General features: G+C 38.0%; 1 long non-coding RNA gene across 1 annotated transcript, besides 1 other annotated feature; it reads right to left on the bottom strand.

Moving 5' to 3' along the window:
• Nucleotides 837-926: an enhancer, noted in NCBI's record as "active region_15408". NCBI's record gives its function as "activates an Ori minimal core promoter by ATAC-STARR-seq in GM12878 lymphoblastoid cells {active_cell/tissue: GM12878}" and the evidence as "EXISTENCE:reporter gene assay evidence [ECO:0000049][PMID:35858748]".
• Nucleotides 7,735-9,613, bottom strand: LINC02850 (long intergenic non-protein coding RNA 2850). The gene is made up of 2 exons (NR_187137.1): nucleotides 9,439-9,613; nucleotides 7,735-9,045 (listed from the first exon to the last, which is right to left on the bottom strand). It is a non-coding gene; the product is annotated as a long intergenic non-protein coding RNA 2850 (long non-coding RNA).
• Between the last annotated feature and the right edge of the window lie 7,638 nt (nucleotides 9,614-17,251).

Below are 17,251 nucleotides of genomic sequence, written 5' to 3'. Positions count from 1 at the left end.
AGAAGCAAAATGACAAATATTGTATGATTATGCTTATATGAAATATCTAGAGTAGGCAAATTCATAGAGATGGGAAGTAGATTTAAGGTTATTCAGGGCTGGGGGCAGGAGAAATCAGTTATTGCTCAATGGGTACAGTTTTTGTTTGGGGCGATGAAAAAGTTTAAGAAAAAAATAGTGGTGATGGTTGCATAGCATTGTGAATGTCATTAATGTCACCGAGTTGTACATCTGAAATGATTAAAATGGCAAATTTTATGTGTGTGTATAGATATAGATAGTGTGTGTATATATGCAGATATGTGTATATATATACACATAATCTATATATGCATATAGATCCATCTATAATATATACACATATATATACATATATGTACATATATATCATGTATATATACACATCTGTAATTTTTTTTAACACCAACACTTAGCAGACCAGATATCTTCATAGCATTACTGACACCTAAGTGCCCAGTATTCTGGTTACTTTTACAGGTGATATGAAAAAAGACATCAGGCATTTGTGAAACAAGATAATAAGACTCCAGAAGAGAGCACTGTAACTAATTTATGCATTTGCAGCGATGAAGAGTATCTCTCAAATCTGTTCCCATCCTTGTGGCCTCATCCTAGTTTAGACTTTGTCTCTTACCTGGCTACCTCCATATTAGCAGCCACATAAACCATCTTTATGCCTCTGGCCTCTCCCTTTCTCAACTCATCCTCCTCAGTGTGAGTCAAATCACCCCAAATGCACTCAAAGGCCTCTCAGAACCTTCAGAAGGAGGGGCCACGTGGGAGGAAACCACAACCACAGCTGTCTCGCCCTGGCCCTGCCACCTCCACTTGCTCTCCCTACAATGTACCTGGGACATTGACTGCTGCCTCTAGGGGAGCTTCTCTCAAAGGGTGGAGGGAAAATACTGCAGGCCAGAGGCTGCCAAACTGCAGCCATGGGCCAAATCCAGCTCACTGCTATTGTTATATGGCTTATGAGTTAAGAATGGTTTTCAGGGCCAGGCGTGGTGGCTCAGACCTGTAATCTCAGCACTTTGGGACACCGAGGCAGGATCATGAGGTCAGGGGTTCAAGACTGGCCTGGCCAACATGGTGAAACCCCGCCTCTACTAAAAATGCAAAAATTAGCTGGGTGTGATGGTGGGAGACTACACTGGGACAATGCTTGTAAGATTCTTAGAAGCCCTGTGTTTCATTTGTGTTGTTTGTTTTTACACTCTTTTAAAAACATTTTATTTGGAAATACTTTCAAACTTACAAAAAGTTGCAAAAAATAAAAATAGTACAAGGTATAGCCTGTATAAACTTCACTCACTCAGACTTGCCTTTTATATTAATTTCCTAGGGTTGCTATAACAAATTACCACAAACTGGGGAGCTTAAAACAACATAAATTTATTCTCTCACAATTGTCTAGGCTAGATGTCCAAAATCAAGGTGTATGGGGCCATGCTGTTTCTGAAGACTCCAAAGGAGAATCTGCTGTGTGCTCTCCTAGCTTCTGATGTTGCCAGCAATTCTTGGGATTCCTTGGCTTGTGGACACATCTCTCTGATCTCTACCTCCATCATCACATGTTCTTGTATGTCTCTTCACATTGTCTTCCCTCTGTGTATGTCTGTCTCCGTATCTCCTCTTCTTTCCTTATAAGGATATCAGTCATATTGCATTAAGAGTCCACTCTAGCCGGGTGTGGTCACTCACACTTGTAATCCTAGCACTTTTTGGAGGCCAAGGTGGGAGGACCACTTGAGCCAGGAGTTCAGGACCAGCCTGGGCAACATTGGGAGATCCTGTCTCTACAAAAAATATTTTTTTAAAAATTAGCTGGGCATGGTGGAGTGTACCTGTGGTCCCAGCTACTCAGGAGGCTGAGATGAGAGGATTGCTTGAACCTGGGAGATGGAGGCTGAGCTGTGATCGTGCCACTGCACTCCAGCCTGGGCAACGAACAAGAACCTGTATAAAAAAATTTAAAAAAAAAAGAAAAAGGAAAAGGAAAAAAAAGCCTACTCTACTCCAGTATGACCTCATCTTAACTTAATTACATTTGCAACAACTGTGTTTCCCAATAAAGTCACATTCTGAGGAGGATATGAATTCTTAGAGGACATTATTCAACCTAATACACCTATTATTAACGTTTTATCCCACTGGATTTCTCTCTCTTTTCCTTCTCTGCTTATATACATTATTCTTTTCCTGAATCATTACATCACATTACATGCACCATAGTCTTTTTACTATTACATAGTTAGTATGTACTTCCCACTAATAGGGGTATTCCCTTGCATAACCACAGTTGACAATGGTCAACTTTGTAAATTTACATCCACACTTTTATTTATGCTTCCATTAGTATTCCAATTTTGTTAGTTAATTGAGTAATTTCCTTTAAAGCATTTTGCCCCTCCAAAACAATATCTAGTCTAGGGGAAAGTATTGCATTTTGTTGTTATATCTTTCTAAGCTTCTTAATCTGGAACATTTCTATAGCCTTTCTTTATATTTCATAACATTGACATTTTTGAAGATTACAGACTGCCCCCAGTTTTTTTTAACAGTGCATTCTTCATTTTGTATTTGTCTATTTTCTCCCATTATTAATTTGAGATTGTGAATTTTATCTGGAACACTGGATAAGTGATGTTGTGTCCTTCTCATGGGATCATATCTGGATATACACAATGTCCATCTGTTCTTCATTGGTGTCATTAATTTTGATCAGCTGGTTAAGGTCTTCCCCAATATTTCAATGGCGTGATTGTTTTTTTCCCTCTCTTCCAATGATAAGCATCTTGAAGAACAATGCAAATATCCTGTTCCTCATTAAAATTTCTCTCTGAGTTTGCTATCCATTGATGATTCTTTACCATGATGGTTATAAAATAATAATTTCTTATCCAGGACTGCACTGACATTTACCAGTAGCTCCCTGGTATTCTACTGTAAGCAAAAGACCTCCCTTTCTCTTGCCTATTTGTTTATATATTATTGTAATAAATGCATGAAATCCTATTTTTTAATGGTTTAGAATTACTGCAGCTAATTATTTGGAAGATCAATTTGTCCCACATTTGGCTAGTGGGATGCCCCTTTAAGCTGGCTCTTGTGTTGTTGGCACATATTCCCATAAGACTTTTCAGCTTCTGACTTTCTGGTTTAACAAGTTGTTTCAGGCTTATCTTGTACCTGTCTTAGAATCAATCATTTCTCCAAAGAGCCCTGGTTCCTTTCAGTGGGAAATGGTATCAGAAACCAAGGAATGGGTGGAAAGGTATGCTCATCCCTACTGGTCCTTTCAGTGGACAGAGCTAGGAAATATATGGGTGTATGTACACACACATACACATACATACAAATGTAAACATGCATATACAATTACATACAAGTATTTTAGAAATCTTAAGTTCAAACTGAAACCTCCAATTCCAACCCACACCCACAAGATGTTTTCTTGCCTTCCCCCATCTCATATTTGTTATTCTCTCCCTCTATAGTGAGAACTCTGTTTGCCAACAACATTAGCATATTTACTCATTTGATCCATAATACGTTTAGGATAACACATTTGAGATAGTTCCAAATTTGCTTTGCCTATAGCACTACAATGAAGAAATCTACTGTGAAGAGTTAAGAATTTATTTGCACTTCTCCCCATCTCTTCCACACTCAGCTCAATGTTTAGCTTCCACTTATAAGTGAGAACATGCAGTATTTGGTTTTCTGTTCCTGCATTAGTCTGCCTAGGATAATGGCCTCCAGCTCCTTCCATGTTGTTGCAAAGGACATAATCTCATTCTTCTTTATGGCTGCACAGTATTTCATGGTCTATATGTACCACATTTTCTTTATCCAGTTTATAATTGATGGGCATTTAGGTTGTTTCTATGTCTTTGCTATTGTGACTAGTGCTGTGATGAATATATGCATGCATGTGTCTTTGTGGTACAATGATTTATATTCCTTTGGGTATATAAACCAAAGTGGGATTGCTGTGTCCAATGGTAATTCTGTTTTAAGTTCTTTGAGAAATCGCCAAACTGCTTTCCGTGATGACTGAACTAATTTACATTTTCACCAGCAGTGCAGAAGCATTCCCTTTTCTCCACAACCTCGACAGCATCTGTTATTTTTTGACTTTTTAGTAATAGCCCTTCTGAGTGGTTTGAGATGGTATCTTACTGTGGTTTTGATTTGCATTTCTCCAATGATTAGTAATGTTGAGCATTTTTTCCATATACTTGTTGGCCACTTGAATGTGGTTCTTTAAAAACTGTCTGCTCATGTTCTTTGCCCACTTTTTAATACGGTTGTTTGGTTTTGGCTTGCAAATTTAAGTTCCTTATAGATTCCGGATATTAGACCTTTTGTCAGATGCATAGTTTGCAAATATTTTCTCCCATTCTGTTAGGTTGTCTGTTTATTCTGTTGATAGTTTCTTTTGCTGTGCAGAAGCTCTTAGGTTTAGTTAGGTCCTGTTTGTCGATGTTTGTTTTTGTCACAATTGCTTTGGTGTTTTTATCATGAAGTATTTGCCAGGAATTTCCCAAATTATCTTCTAGGGTTTTAATAGTTTTCAATTTTAGATTTAGGTCTTTAATCCATCTTGAGTCAATTTTTGTATATGGTGTAGGGAAGGGGTCCAGCTTCAATCTTCTGCATGTGACTAGCCAGTTATCCCAGCACCATGTATTGAATAAAGAGTCCTTTCCCCATTGCTTTTTCTGGTGAATATTGTCAAAGATCAGGTAGTTGTAGGTGTGCAGCATTATTTCTCTATTTTGTTCCATTGGTCTGTGTGTCTGTTTTTGTACAAGTATCATGCTGTTTTGGTTATTGTAGCTTTGCAGTATAGTTTGAAGTCATGTAATGTGATGCCTCCAACTTTGTTCTTTTTGCCTACGATTGCCTTGGCTATTCAAGTTTTTTCTGGTTCCATATGAATTTTAAAATAGTTTTTTTTCTAATTCTGTGAACAATTCAATTGGTAGATTGATAGGAATAGCATTGAATCTGTAAATTGCTTTGGGCAGTATGGTCACTGTGACACTATTGATTTTTCCTATCCATGAGCATGGAATGTTTTTCCATTTGTTTGTGTCATCTCTGAGGCAGTGTTTTGTAATTCTTGTTGTAGCGGTCTTTCACCTTCTTGGTTAACTGTATTCCCAGGTATTTTATTCTTTTTGTGGTTATTATGAATGGGATTGCTTTCTTGATTTGTTTCTCAGCTTAGATGTTGTTGGTTTACAGGAATGCTACCGATTTTTTATGTTAATTTTGCATCCTGAAACTTTGCTGAATTTGTGTATCAGATCAAGGAGCTTATGGGCAGAGATTATTAAGTTTTCTAGCTGTAGAATTATATCATCTGCAAACAGAGATACTTTGACTTCCTCTTTTCCTATTTGGATGCCTTTTATTTCTTTCACTTGCCTGATTCCTCTGTCTAGGATTCTGAGTACTGTGTTGAATAGGAGTGGTGAAAGAGGGCATCCTTGTCTTGTTCCAGTTTTCAAGAGGAAGACTTCCAGCTTTTGGCCATTCAGTATGATGTTGGCTGCTCCATTCCTATTCTTATTAACTTAACCTTATTCTTATATTTGAAGAATAATGACACACTTTCAAAAATCAAGGAAGTTTCACTCCCTTTCTTCCCATTTACACTCCATTTTCCCTACCTCTAACTGGTTACTATTTTCTGGTTAATCCATCTTGTATTTCTTTTTTGTAATGATAAGTAGTTATATGTACCTTTTCTTATTTTCCTTTCATCCTTTCACAAAACTATATAGCATACTATATATAGTCTTATATATATCTGTTCCAGATGTAAGTATACACTAGTATAATCTAGGCATACTGTATGTACTCCTTAGCACTTTGCTTTTTTAAATTATTGTTTCCTAAAAGTCACTCCATAACAGTTCATAGAGATCATCCTTATTCCTTTTTCATAGCTGCACAGTACTCTGCTGTGTGTATGCAATCAATCTCCTTTGCTTTGACATGTAGGTAGTTTCCAACAGTTTTCAATGATAAATGATGTTACCATGGGTAGCATTGTGCATATAAATTTCTGTGTCATTGGAGATATGTCCCCTAGGTAAATTTCTAGCAAAGGTATTTCTGAGTTGAAGAATAAGTGCATATGCAGTTTTGTTAGAACTTGCCAAATTCCCCTACATATGGGATCTATCCCATTTTGCAGATCCAACAGCAAAGTACAAAACGTCCTGTTTCCCACAGTCTTACCAACAGAGTTCATTGTCACACTTTTGAATGTTTGCAAATCTATTGAGTAAGAAATGGTATCTCGGTATAGTTTTCATTTGCATTTCTCTTACTATGAGTGAGGGTAAACATCCTTTCTTATGGTTTGAGGTCATTTTCGTAGCTCTGTGAATTGTCGGTGTTTTGCTCATTTTTCTAAGACTTTTTGGTCTTTTTTTTTTCTCTCGACTTTTGAATTTTTTTTTAAGCTAGAGATATTAGTCCTTTATCTGCGATACTTGTTACAAATATTTTCTCCTACTTTTATTGCCTCTGAATTTCAGGTCATAGTTAGAAAACCTTTCCCTAACTGAAGTTAAAGTGAAAGTCACCCATGTTTTCTTCTAGTACTTTTGTGATTTTCTTTAGCCAACTTTGGTATTCACTTAATTCCCAAGGTGTTTTTGTTTTTGTTTTCCTCCGAAGAACTCTGACTTTTTTGTTAGTTCAGCTATTCATTTTGAAAAAGTCATGGGTGTTGATGAATGTGTTAATTAATTTGATTGTAATTATTACACAATGTATACATATATCAAATCATTATGTTTTGCACCTTGGAAAGATTCCATCTTTGTCAATTAAATATTTTTAAATAAAAATTATGTGAAATAAAATAAAATGAGCTTGGAAATAAATAAAGTATTTTGTCTAGCTGTTTCAGTGGTATTTATAGGTAGAATCATTCAGGGTATTGAGTCTGTCTTGCTGCTGGAAATATAAATAAACTAATCTTTTCTCTGAAGCCCTACAAGAAGATCATATAGTTTAGCCATCCAATTCCTAAACACATATTCTTACAACAACATGCTAATCCTTTTTAGAAATGTGCTTTTGGATCATCATACTATTTTATTTTAAAGCTATTGAAAATAAAAATTACCATTACACTATAATAGGTAAACTACACTCAACTCACTAGCATTGTTAAAACCAGGTCCATAAAGCGGTAAGGATTATTCTTGAAGAGGTATGGATTAGCTGCCTTACAAATTTACTTATAACACCAGCAGGTTGCTTTTCTCTCCCATCTTTTTTTTTTCTTGTTGATTTTTTGAGTGAACCATTATGTGTAAAATCAGATTTATCAAAGAAAAAAGATTTAATTTTATGTTGTGGAATAGTGCATGATAACTTTTCTAAAAGATGCTTTCTGTATTTGCTTAAAATAAAATACAGATTTAGATTAAATACCTAAATACAGATTACTTAGCTGAATATGTATTTTTTAGAGGAAAAACTTTAAGCAAAAGCAAGTTTAATTTGAAAATATGGTACTTGAATTCTTTATGTGACTAGCAAAATATTAAGACAATTCAAATTTTTCTCAAGATAAGAACCCAACAGAAGCATGCTATTCAGGATCAGTGATATTAGTTTAACAGACAAATGAAATTCAAATGATTTTAATAATTAATTAGAAATTTTCAATAGTCCTTATCAATGCACAAATGTACTTTATTAGGAGGTTATTAACCATTATAAGGTTCCCCTATGGCTTTCTCTGTTCTTCAGACTTGATAAAGCATGATAGCTCATACTGTACACATGGCTTTTTTATAGCCAAAAAAGTGCCAGAGTTTCACATAGTAGCATTTCCATTTTTCAACAATATTATAGATAAAAATGAAACTCAGATTTTTGGAAAATCCCTCTTTCTAGTCCCAATATCTGTTCCTGGACTTGATCCAGAGCAGTTGTTATTTCTGGCACTTGGAGCTTTTGAAGTCATTTCCACAGACATTGCTCTGAGCAGGTCTATACATAAGTGCAGAGATTTCATGCAGGCTCTATCCAAGGAAACTTTAGTTTCCTATCAGTTGATTTTGGGTTCCCTACCCTCCAAACTTCACTGTAAATTCTCTTATCTTTGGATTTGGTAAAATGTTTTAGATGAACTGTTGGTTAAAAGAAAAAGCTGATCGATTACCAGACAAAACATAATCTCCACTGTCAAAGATACATTTTGAAAATCATTGTAATTTTTAATAATTAAGTGTAAAACTCTGAAAACATATCTTCCCTTAAAATTTTTTTTCCCACAAAATCCTCCTAGAATTCACATTGTATAAAGTGTATTCTTTCTTAATTTCCTAGTTTCTAGCTACTTCCAAGTGTCTCTGTTGCTGGAACTTTGCAGAGTGTTTGCTTAATAAATATTTGTGGACTGAAAGAAGAATCAGATTATAATAGACAGTATATGAGGACATGGCAAATCTCTTAGATCTAAAATGGTTCAGATGATGGTCTGATACCATATAATTTATAATTTAAGTAGATTATAATATGGAGCTATAGCCAGGTAAGTCTTTAGTTCTCAGGTGAGAAAGTTATTGTCTTCATAGTTGGCTGTGGATATGGTAGGATACATAAGCAGCAACACCAGGCTATTATTAAATTAATCTAAGAATGTGAAATATTTGAGGGCCAAGGCTATGGATAATATCAAAGGAAACTAAGTATACTGAAACTGCATGATGTCTGATGTGAAATATCTATAGAAAATTGGAAACTTCCTTCCTTTGCTCTGGCTCATGGTAGGTTTTAAACTGCATTTACCAACTTGGTTCTTGTCTGAAACTGACGACAATCTTATGGGGCAGGAGGCTCAGAAAGTCCCTGTCTTTTTGAGGGGTGAAGAATTTTAACCTCAGGAGGGTTTGTTGACCTTCTAAGGTTTTCCAGCATTATTGGCAGGTTTTGGACTGAAACACAGACTTCTAGACTCTTCATCAAGTGCTCTTTCTCATTCTAACATCAGGAGAAAAGAAAACAAAGCATAAGAAGAAAGAAAAAGAAAAAAGTTTAATTTCATAGGTTGTTACAAATGATAGGCTTATATTAAAAAGTATTTTAAAATGTAATAAATATGGTGAACTTCGTAATAGATTTCCTGGGAAAAGTTTCTAATGGTTCAATGCATTTACACATGTCAGTCTTCAAATCCAGCCCTTCTCAGGTCTTTGGAGGCAGAAGAGAATAAAAAGAAGGCACCTGGGCCTCAAGCTCCCTGTTCAGGCATATTTCCATTTTCGATTCCAATGTCTGCACTAGCTGCCAGAACAGTCTTCCCAAAACACAAATCCAATCATGCCACACTCATTTAAAACCCTTCTGGTATTCTGCCCCAGCTTCATGTCCCACCTTTCAAAAAATCCACACTGAGGCTCTTTTATGTTTCTTCATCTTTGCTTATGTGGCCCCTTCTATCTGGAAAAACAAAGAAGCAAATAAACAAACCTACTTAGCCTTCAAGGCTCTGTTTTGATATCTTGTCTTCTGTGAAGACTTCCATGATCTTCCACCGTTACCTGTGCTTCTAAGACAGAATTAGGCCTACTCTTCTGAGTGTGCCCACAGACCACAGTGCTTACTTACAGATTCCATTGCAATTGTGATGCAGGTCTATACATAAGTGCAGAGATTTTCTGCAGGCTCTATCCAAGGAAACCTTAGTTTTCTATCAGTTGATTTTGGGTTCCCAAAATGTGTGCACATACACATTTGAACTGTATTTTGAGCTTCTCGCTGGCTGAGCCTTGTCTTCTTTCCACATGTTGCACAGTGCCAGCTCTTAGAAAGTGATGAATTAGTAAACTCAAGAAACAAATGCAACAGTCCCAGAAGAACCACAAGGTTTCTGGTCATCTGGGATTTCTCTTTACAGAAGAGAATGTGAAGAGTGTCCCAAGTTCAAAGGAGTTTCATTTTGCTCTGACTTCTTATGTGGAGATTAAATACAAAAATGTTGAGGGTAGGGAAGAGTCCAAGGGAAGGCATGAGAGTTGCAGACATTGCAAAAGCTGAGGTCACTATAAACCTGGACTTTAAAGCTTTGTAAAGCTTTGAGTGATATTATTTCATTCTCTTAAAGGAGAAACCACAAGTAAAGTGAGTACCTGGCAGATAACTGATGCTCAACAAAAGTAAGGTCCCATCTCTGTGTACTTGTCTGATGAAATGCAATCTACATTCTCCTTAAACTTATTCATTCCATTACTCAACAAATGTTTACTGAGTATCTGCTCTCTGCCAGGCCTGTGCTTTTCCAAGAAGAATGTATGGAAGAGAACAAAGACAAGAGTAAATCCTTGGGAGATGTTTGCTGTCCAGCCTCTGTTGTCTTCTATACATTCTTCTTGGAAGAGCTCATTTATTGTGGGGGTTTCATCTATATGTTAAACACTGACCATTTTATCTCTCTCCCAGATCTCTCACCTGATTTGTATATCCAATGCCAATTAGCCATCTCTACCCACAAATGCAACATGCCCATGGCTGACCCTGTTGTCTTCCTCTCAATGCCTGATATTTTTCCCTTATTCCAGGAAATATCATCACCAGTCACTTATACTCCAAACCCTGGAATCACCAACTTCAAAGAATATTTGTTGAGTGTCTCCCTTGGACCTTGCACTAGGAGAATATTTTGATAAACATTGTCTGATCTTTGTTTTTTCTTCTTCTTTATACCAGTCCTTCACTCCCACTTCCCCATATCCAGCCTACTTAAATTTGATTTGTTTGATTCCTACAAAGTTTCTTTCCCTCCTCCTCTTCTTCTCCATAGCCAGTGTCCTGATTAAAGTTTTCAAAACCTCTCACTTTTACCATTGGAATATCTTCCTCTCCTCAATGCTTCTAGAGAATTTTGTGAAGTCTCTGTTGGCTCCTCTTTCTTGCAGAATGAAGTCTACCCTCAGTTTGCCATCCAGAGTCTTAAATGATCTGGTGATGGCCCACTTACCTAGCCTTATCCTTCTGTGCCTTTCCTCACTCCAGAACCTTGATCTCCAGCAACACTGATTAACTTATTTCTTTTTAAAAAATAGGCCCCAATATTTTTGACTATAGCATCTTGCTTGAGGTGTTGATCTCCTTGGAGGGCCTTTCTCCCTTTGAAATCTTACGTAGCCTGAAAGGTCCAGCTTCATCTCCTATCTTTCCTGTTTTTCAATATCTCCTTAGACTATAGTAATGTTTCCTTCCCTTATACTTCCAGAGGGCTTTCTTTGTATCATGGTAGTCAAGCCACCCAGGAGAGCTCAGTGTAAGTGCTAGAGAAGACAGGCTCTATCTACAGTTCATCCGTCTGGTTCCACTTCTAATTTCAAATGGGACATTATGTAACTGATCATAATCCTTATGATCTTAGGTTATTATGTTCTGAATTTGTGAAGAGAGAACATCCCAAACCAATGACCCTCCAGGTGCTTTGCTGCTTGATTTAGTTAAAAAGGAAAAAGTTATTTGGAACACATAAATGTCCTGTGAAAACAAAACAAAGCCAAACCTTGTATGAAGTATGGTAGAATCATCGTGGGAGTTTAAAGGAAAAGGGCAGGGAGTGGCTAACTAGGTTAGGGAGGTTTAGCTGGAGAGAATAATAAAATGAAATGACTAGAGCAGTGATAACATCAAGGCAGGTTCTTAAGCAATTTTCATGCCGTTTGTTGGGGTACATTAGGTAATTGTCCTACTTTGTCCCAGCTGGTGTGAAGCAAAATAACTTGGCAATGATTACTGCACAAAAACATGAAGGCAATAGAGGTTGTAGGTATTGTTAGAACTTCATCTGGAGTTACAGGAGGTTTGACCCAGGGTAAAAATCAACAGACTGAAAAAATACAGGAAATAGAGGATAATTTGATTCTCTCTATAGAATCTATTATTTTCTATATATAGAAAATAGGGCAAAACAATAACAAAAAACTGTGTTTTCTCATTTATAGTTTACCTCTTGGAATACGTAGAAAATCACTTCAAAACTGGTTTTCTAGTAAAGCCATGCACTCTAAAGTAACTGACACTTGAAGTCATTCAGACAGTGGAAAATAAAACCATCCACTGAAAACCTGTGGTGCCATTGAGACAAGCAAACATGTCTCACCTGAAGATGCTATTGAGTTATGAGGTCAGGTAATATCTGCTCTGTACAGCTGCTTCCGTCCTGTGTCCCCTGCCACCCTCCCCAGGTAGTCTCTTTCTTCTCTCGCCTCCCATAGTCTCATGGGCATATATCAATTACAACATTTTCCAGACTGTCTTTAATTGTGTTTTTTGTTTCTTCTCTAGACTGAGTATTCCTCAGGGATCTTTAGGCCATTTCTCAAATGTTTTTGCGTTTCCTCCAACAGTGAAATTCCAAGTTTTGTTTTGCCTTTTTATAATTACCTTTACTTAATGAGGAAAGAGGGCAGAACGAGAACTTGGAGGAAAAATGTGAGCTGTTTCAACTGGAGTCCTCCCATGCCAGAAAGGAATGAGATGAAATATAAACATCAAACAAATACAGCTTGATGGTCCATTATAAAGGGATGAGCATCTGCTGAGGATCTTTCTTAGGAAGGAAGAAGCTGACTGTGTCATTATAAGTGAGGGTTTAATGAGGAAGAGCTGTTCAGTACTCAGAACTGTATCAAATCATACAGCTCCAAAGTCCAGGAGACCAGACGGGAAATAGAACAATGCCTTCCCCCAAATGGGGAACAGAGTTCCTCTTCCGGGTCACTGGGATGGCTGACTTTTTGTGAAAACAGAAGGGGGGCTGTACATGTGGGGAAGAGACTGAGGTGCACTGCAAGAGTCTGCATTCCCCCAGCAGGCAGGACCTCTTTACTGAAGAGACAGGGCTTAGCGTCTGAAGCCCAGTTTTACATGCAGGTACCACCAGCAACCAACCGGGTAACCTGGAGCTCTGAGTCTGTTTCATCATCATTCTAAGGTGGCATGGAAATTTCCTGTGCCTCAGTCTTAGAGGGAAGCTCTGAAAGCCAGTGAAGTAAAGGATGGAAAAGTGCTTTGTATTATCATGTCTTACACTCCACAGGAGCTTGTTATGGGCAGCTTTGCCTGGAAGGGGTCTAAACTTATTATCAGTCACGAACTTTTTGAGTTGTTCCTGAGTTACTGTCTCTGGGAAAGGGGTTTAAAGGGAAGATGAAAAGAAGTGAGTCTTGAGGTCCAGTGGTCTGAAGGAAGAGTGAGGGAGGAGAGAAGAGGAAGACACCGCGAAGCACAGTGTGAGAAAGACAGATGGAAAGGGATGGAACATCCTCCCTCAGTTGGCTCCTGAGCTAGCCTTGGCCTGGAGAACCAGGAGATTGAGCCAGAGACCCAGACTGCTCAGCCTGACTTGGGGTCCTTGCCCAGGCACTGGGTCTGGGAGCAAGGACGCAACCTGAGGCAATCATGGCCTTTCTCTTCACTGAGGGCTGGAGTCAAGTTCATAAAGAGAATTGGTGGATGAGGGACTGTGCCAGAGAAAACAGATGCACAAAACAAAGCCTCACCTGAGAGACTTCAGGCAGAGAAAAGGAACATAGGAACATAGACTTCTTTCTGAAACGGGAGTGTGGGTATACATGGCAAAACATGTGAAAGCCCTATTGGAGAAAGACAGTGTATGAAGAAGACCAGTCTTTTCAAGGTCAGTGTTTGTCTTGGAAGCACACTCCATTTTTACCTCCTCAAACAAGCTGCCCTGCCAGGTGCAGTGGCAAGCGCTTGCAATCCCACAGCTACTTGTGAGGCTGAGCGGGGAGGATCTCTTGAACTCAGGAGAGTGTGAGATCAGCCCAGGCAACACGGGAAGACTCCATCTCAAAACAAAAAAAAGAAAAACAAGCAGCCCTTAAAACAGGATTTCTCAATCTCAGCATTATCGACATTTTTGGGCCAGAAAGCTCTTTCCTGTGGGGTTGTCCTGTGCATCATAGAATGTTTAGCAGCAACCCTGGCCTCTACCCGTGAGATGCCAGTAGCACCCTCCCCCGACCTGTGACACCCAAAACTGTGTCTGTGTTCAATGGGAGTGTAACATTGTCCCCAGCCGCGATCTACTGGCTTAAATGTTCTAAAGGAGGATGTTTCTTTGTTAGTTTATTCAACTATTTTCTTATCTCATTTTTTTCCTTTTTTCGTCACTGGAATAAGTTGTTAAATCCTGCTTTACATAATTAATTAATTTGCTCGTTCATTTAACCAAGTTTCCTCCTCATTAAGGTGGTAATGGTAATAAGAAATGATATTTTGGAGGTTCAAATGAGACAGTGTTTGAGCAAATGGTGGATAAACCGTGTCTTATTTAACTACTTAGAAAGTATAATTAGCACATTTGCAAAATTATTGATGGAAGCAGTGTAGAGCTCTTAATTGAAACACTGAACTTGGAGTCAGAAACCCTGTTGTCAAGTGTCTGCCCACATGTGTAGGCTATGGCAACCCAAGCCTAGAGCCTTAAGATCCTAATGGGTTTAACGTGGTCATGTGGTACATTACTACGGTAATATCATTTTATTTTTCTACTTTCTTGAACATAAAAGCAAAAAGCTGTCACTAGGAAGTTTTCTATAGTTGTTTGCCTTTGCCGAAATAGTGATCTTATGAATTGCATCAAACAACGAGTGGGACTAATTTGTATTGATGAATCCATAGAGACATGTAGGTATGGAAAAAACAAAGAAAATAGTAAATGAGAGGTAAGAAATCGCCAAAGGAATCAACTTGATGAATTAAATTGATCAGTGAATCCATAATCATTGAATCAATATATGAATAACTGCATAAATTCTTAATAAAAATAGGAAAATAAACAGAAATACTTTATAAACAAGGGACTGAATCAGAAAAAAACACTTAGAAAAAATACAAAACTTCATGAGAGGCTGAAACTGATCTGCTTCATAGGAGATGCTCTGAAGGTGAAACCTTAAGACAAAGGTAAGTGAAAGCAGCTTATGGCAAATAGACCATGAGCAAGTTGGTTTTATGAAAATTGATTTTAAAGGCATTAATTTTAGGCCCATTGGCTTTAGTTAAGCTGTTTTCTTAGAAAACTGCACTGCTCTGTTGATTCTGAGGTTAGAAGATCAGTTTTTAGAGTAAAAAGAAAAAAAAAGTATAGGCAGATACAGGAAAAGTGAAATAAGGCAGACTGAAAGCACAGATTTCTGCAGAGAGGATACATCCTGTAGTTCTGGCACTTGATGAAATGGAGACATGGCCGAGGCTTACCCCCAGTGGAGGTCCCCTTAGCTGACATACTTTCCCACCTTCCCAACCAATCTCTCCACCTGTCTCTCACCAGCTCCTCATCCTGCCTTGTTTCTCACAGTATTTGTCATGTCCTGAGTTACATATTTATTTGTCTATTTGCTTATTATCAATCTCCTGTACCACCTCAACCCCCTGCAGACACACACACACACACACATGCACACACGCACACTTGTGCACACATACATGCACACACATGTGCAGGAATGTAAAGTCTTTAATTACTCTTGTCTTCTGCAGGGCTTTTCCTTATTTGTCAGGATACTTAGGCATTAAAATTATTATTAAATTATTAATACAAATTATAAGTGTTTCTTAATTTAAAAACTATTAAGTTATAATCAATATTTGTTTATTTAGCCACTAGCTGCTGGGCCTCTTATGCCCAGATCCCCGATCTTCACAATAGATTTGCAAAGCGGGGATCATGTCACATCTTCAAGAAACTCACAGGTTTAGGCGAGCAGGTTAAATGTATTCACAGTAAATATTTGTTTGTTTGTTCAGAGAGGTTTAGAAACAAACCTAAGATCACACAGGTAGTAATTAGCTTAGCTAGCATTTAAAGTTGGGTTAACTAAAGTCTTTCCAAAATGCCATAGTGCCCCAAAAGAGCAATGAGCATCAGGCAAAGAAAGGCCTTTCTTTCCATTCTAAAATATCCTTAAAATTCCACCAGTTTATCTTGTGATCTTCTGGTCTGTTCCATGCTCAGGTGCAGATCAGAGCACTGGAAGGCCCTTGGAAGGCCACTTGGTTCAAGTGACTGACCTGGCCCAGGTGGGAGACACCTGTGCAAGGCCACCAGCTTGAAACTCCAGAACCTTTTAGAGATGATGCTAAAGTAGCACTTTCCAGTAGAAATACGATGTGAGCCATAAATAATTAAAAGTATTCTAACAGCCACATTAAAAAAGGCCAAGTTAATTTTGATAACATATTTTGTTTGACACAATATATCTAAAATATTATCATTTCACTATCCAATCAGTATCAAAATGAGTAATGATATATTTTACAGTAATTCTAACATTAGATTAATTAAAATAAGCCAAAACATAAAATTCTGTTTCTCCATTGCTCCAGCCACATTTCCAGTGCTTGACAGCCCCATGTGGCTGATGATGGCTTTCATGACAAGTGAGATGTCAGAGAAACACTTGGTGCTGGCCAATCAGATGGAGGAGCTTCCTCACGGGTCCTTTGTGTAATATCTCCTTGAGGATTTTGGAGTCTCTCTAGCACGGCTGCTCTGGGTGGACAGCCTGCTTACCCAATGGCTCTGTGTTCCAACAAACAAGGCAGAAGCTTCATACTTTTCACAATCCTCAAAAGTCATGTTGTGTCGTTTCTTCTGTACCCTGGTGTTTCAAGCAGATGCAAAGTCACCCAGATTCATAGGGAGAGGCCATAGACCCCCTTTTGATGGAAAGAACTATCAAATAATTTGGGGCAATATTTTAAAACCAGCACTTCTCTTTAGCGGGTTGATTTGTATCCTGTAAAATATGTCCAAGTCTTAACTTCTAGTACTATCAATGTGAACTTATTCGGAAATAGGGTCTTTGCAGATCTAATTAAGTTAAAGATGTCAATATGAGATCATCCTGGATTTAGGGTAGGTCCTAAATCTGATAACTGGTGGGTTTTTTGCGGGGGAGAGAGGGGCAAAGTCTCTATGGCCCAGGCTGGAGTGCAGTGGCGCTATCTTGGCTCATTGCCAACCTCCCAGGTTCAAGAGATTCTCGTGCCTCAGCTCCTGATTAGCTAGGACTACAGGCATGCATCATCACACCTGGCTAATTTTTTTTTTTTTTTTTTTTTTTTTTTTTAGTAGAGATGGGGTTTGGTCATGTTGCCCAGGCTGGTCTCAAACTCCTGATTTCAGGTGATCTACCGC

The sequence above is a fragment of the Homo sapiens genome, chromosome 2, assembly GCF_000001405.40.
Source record: "Homo sapiens chromosome 2, GRCh38.p14 Primary Assembly".
Classification (NCBI taxonomy): domain Eukaryota; kingdom Metazoa; phylum Chordata; class Mammalia; order Primates; family Hominidae; genus Homo; species Homo sapiens.
Note: the sequence above shows the minus strand (reverse complement) of the source record. Positions and strands in the feature narration are given on the sequence as shown.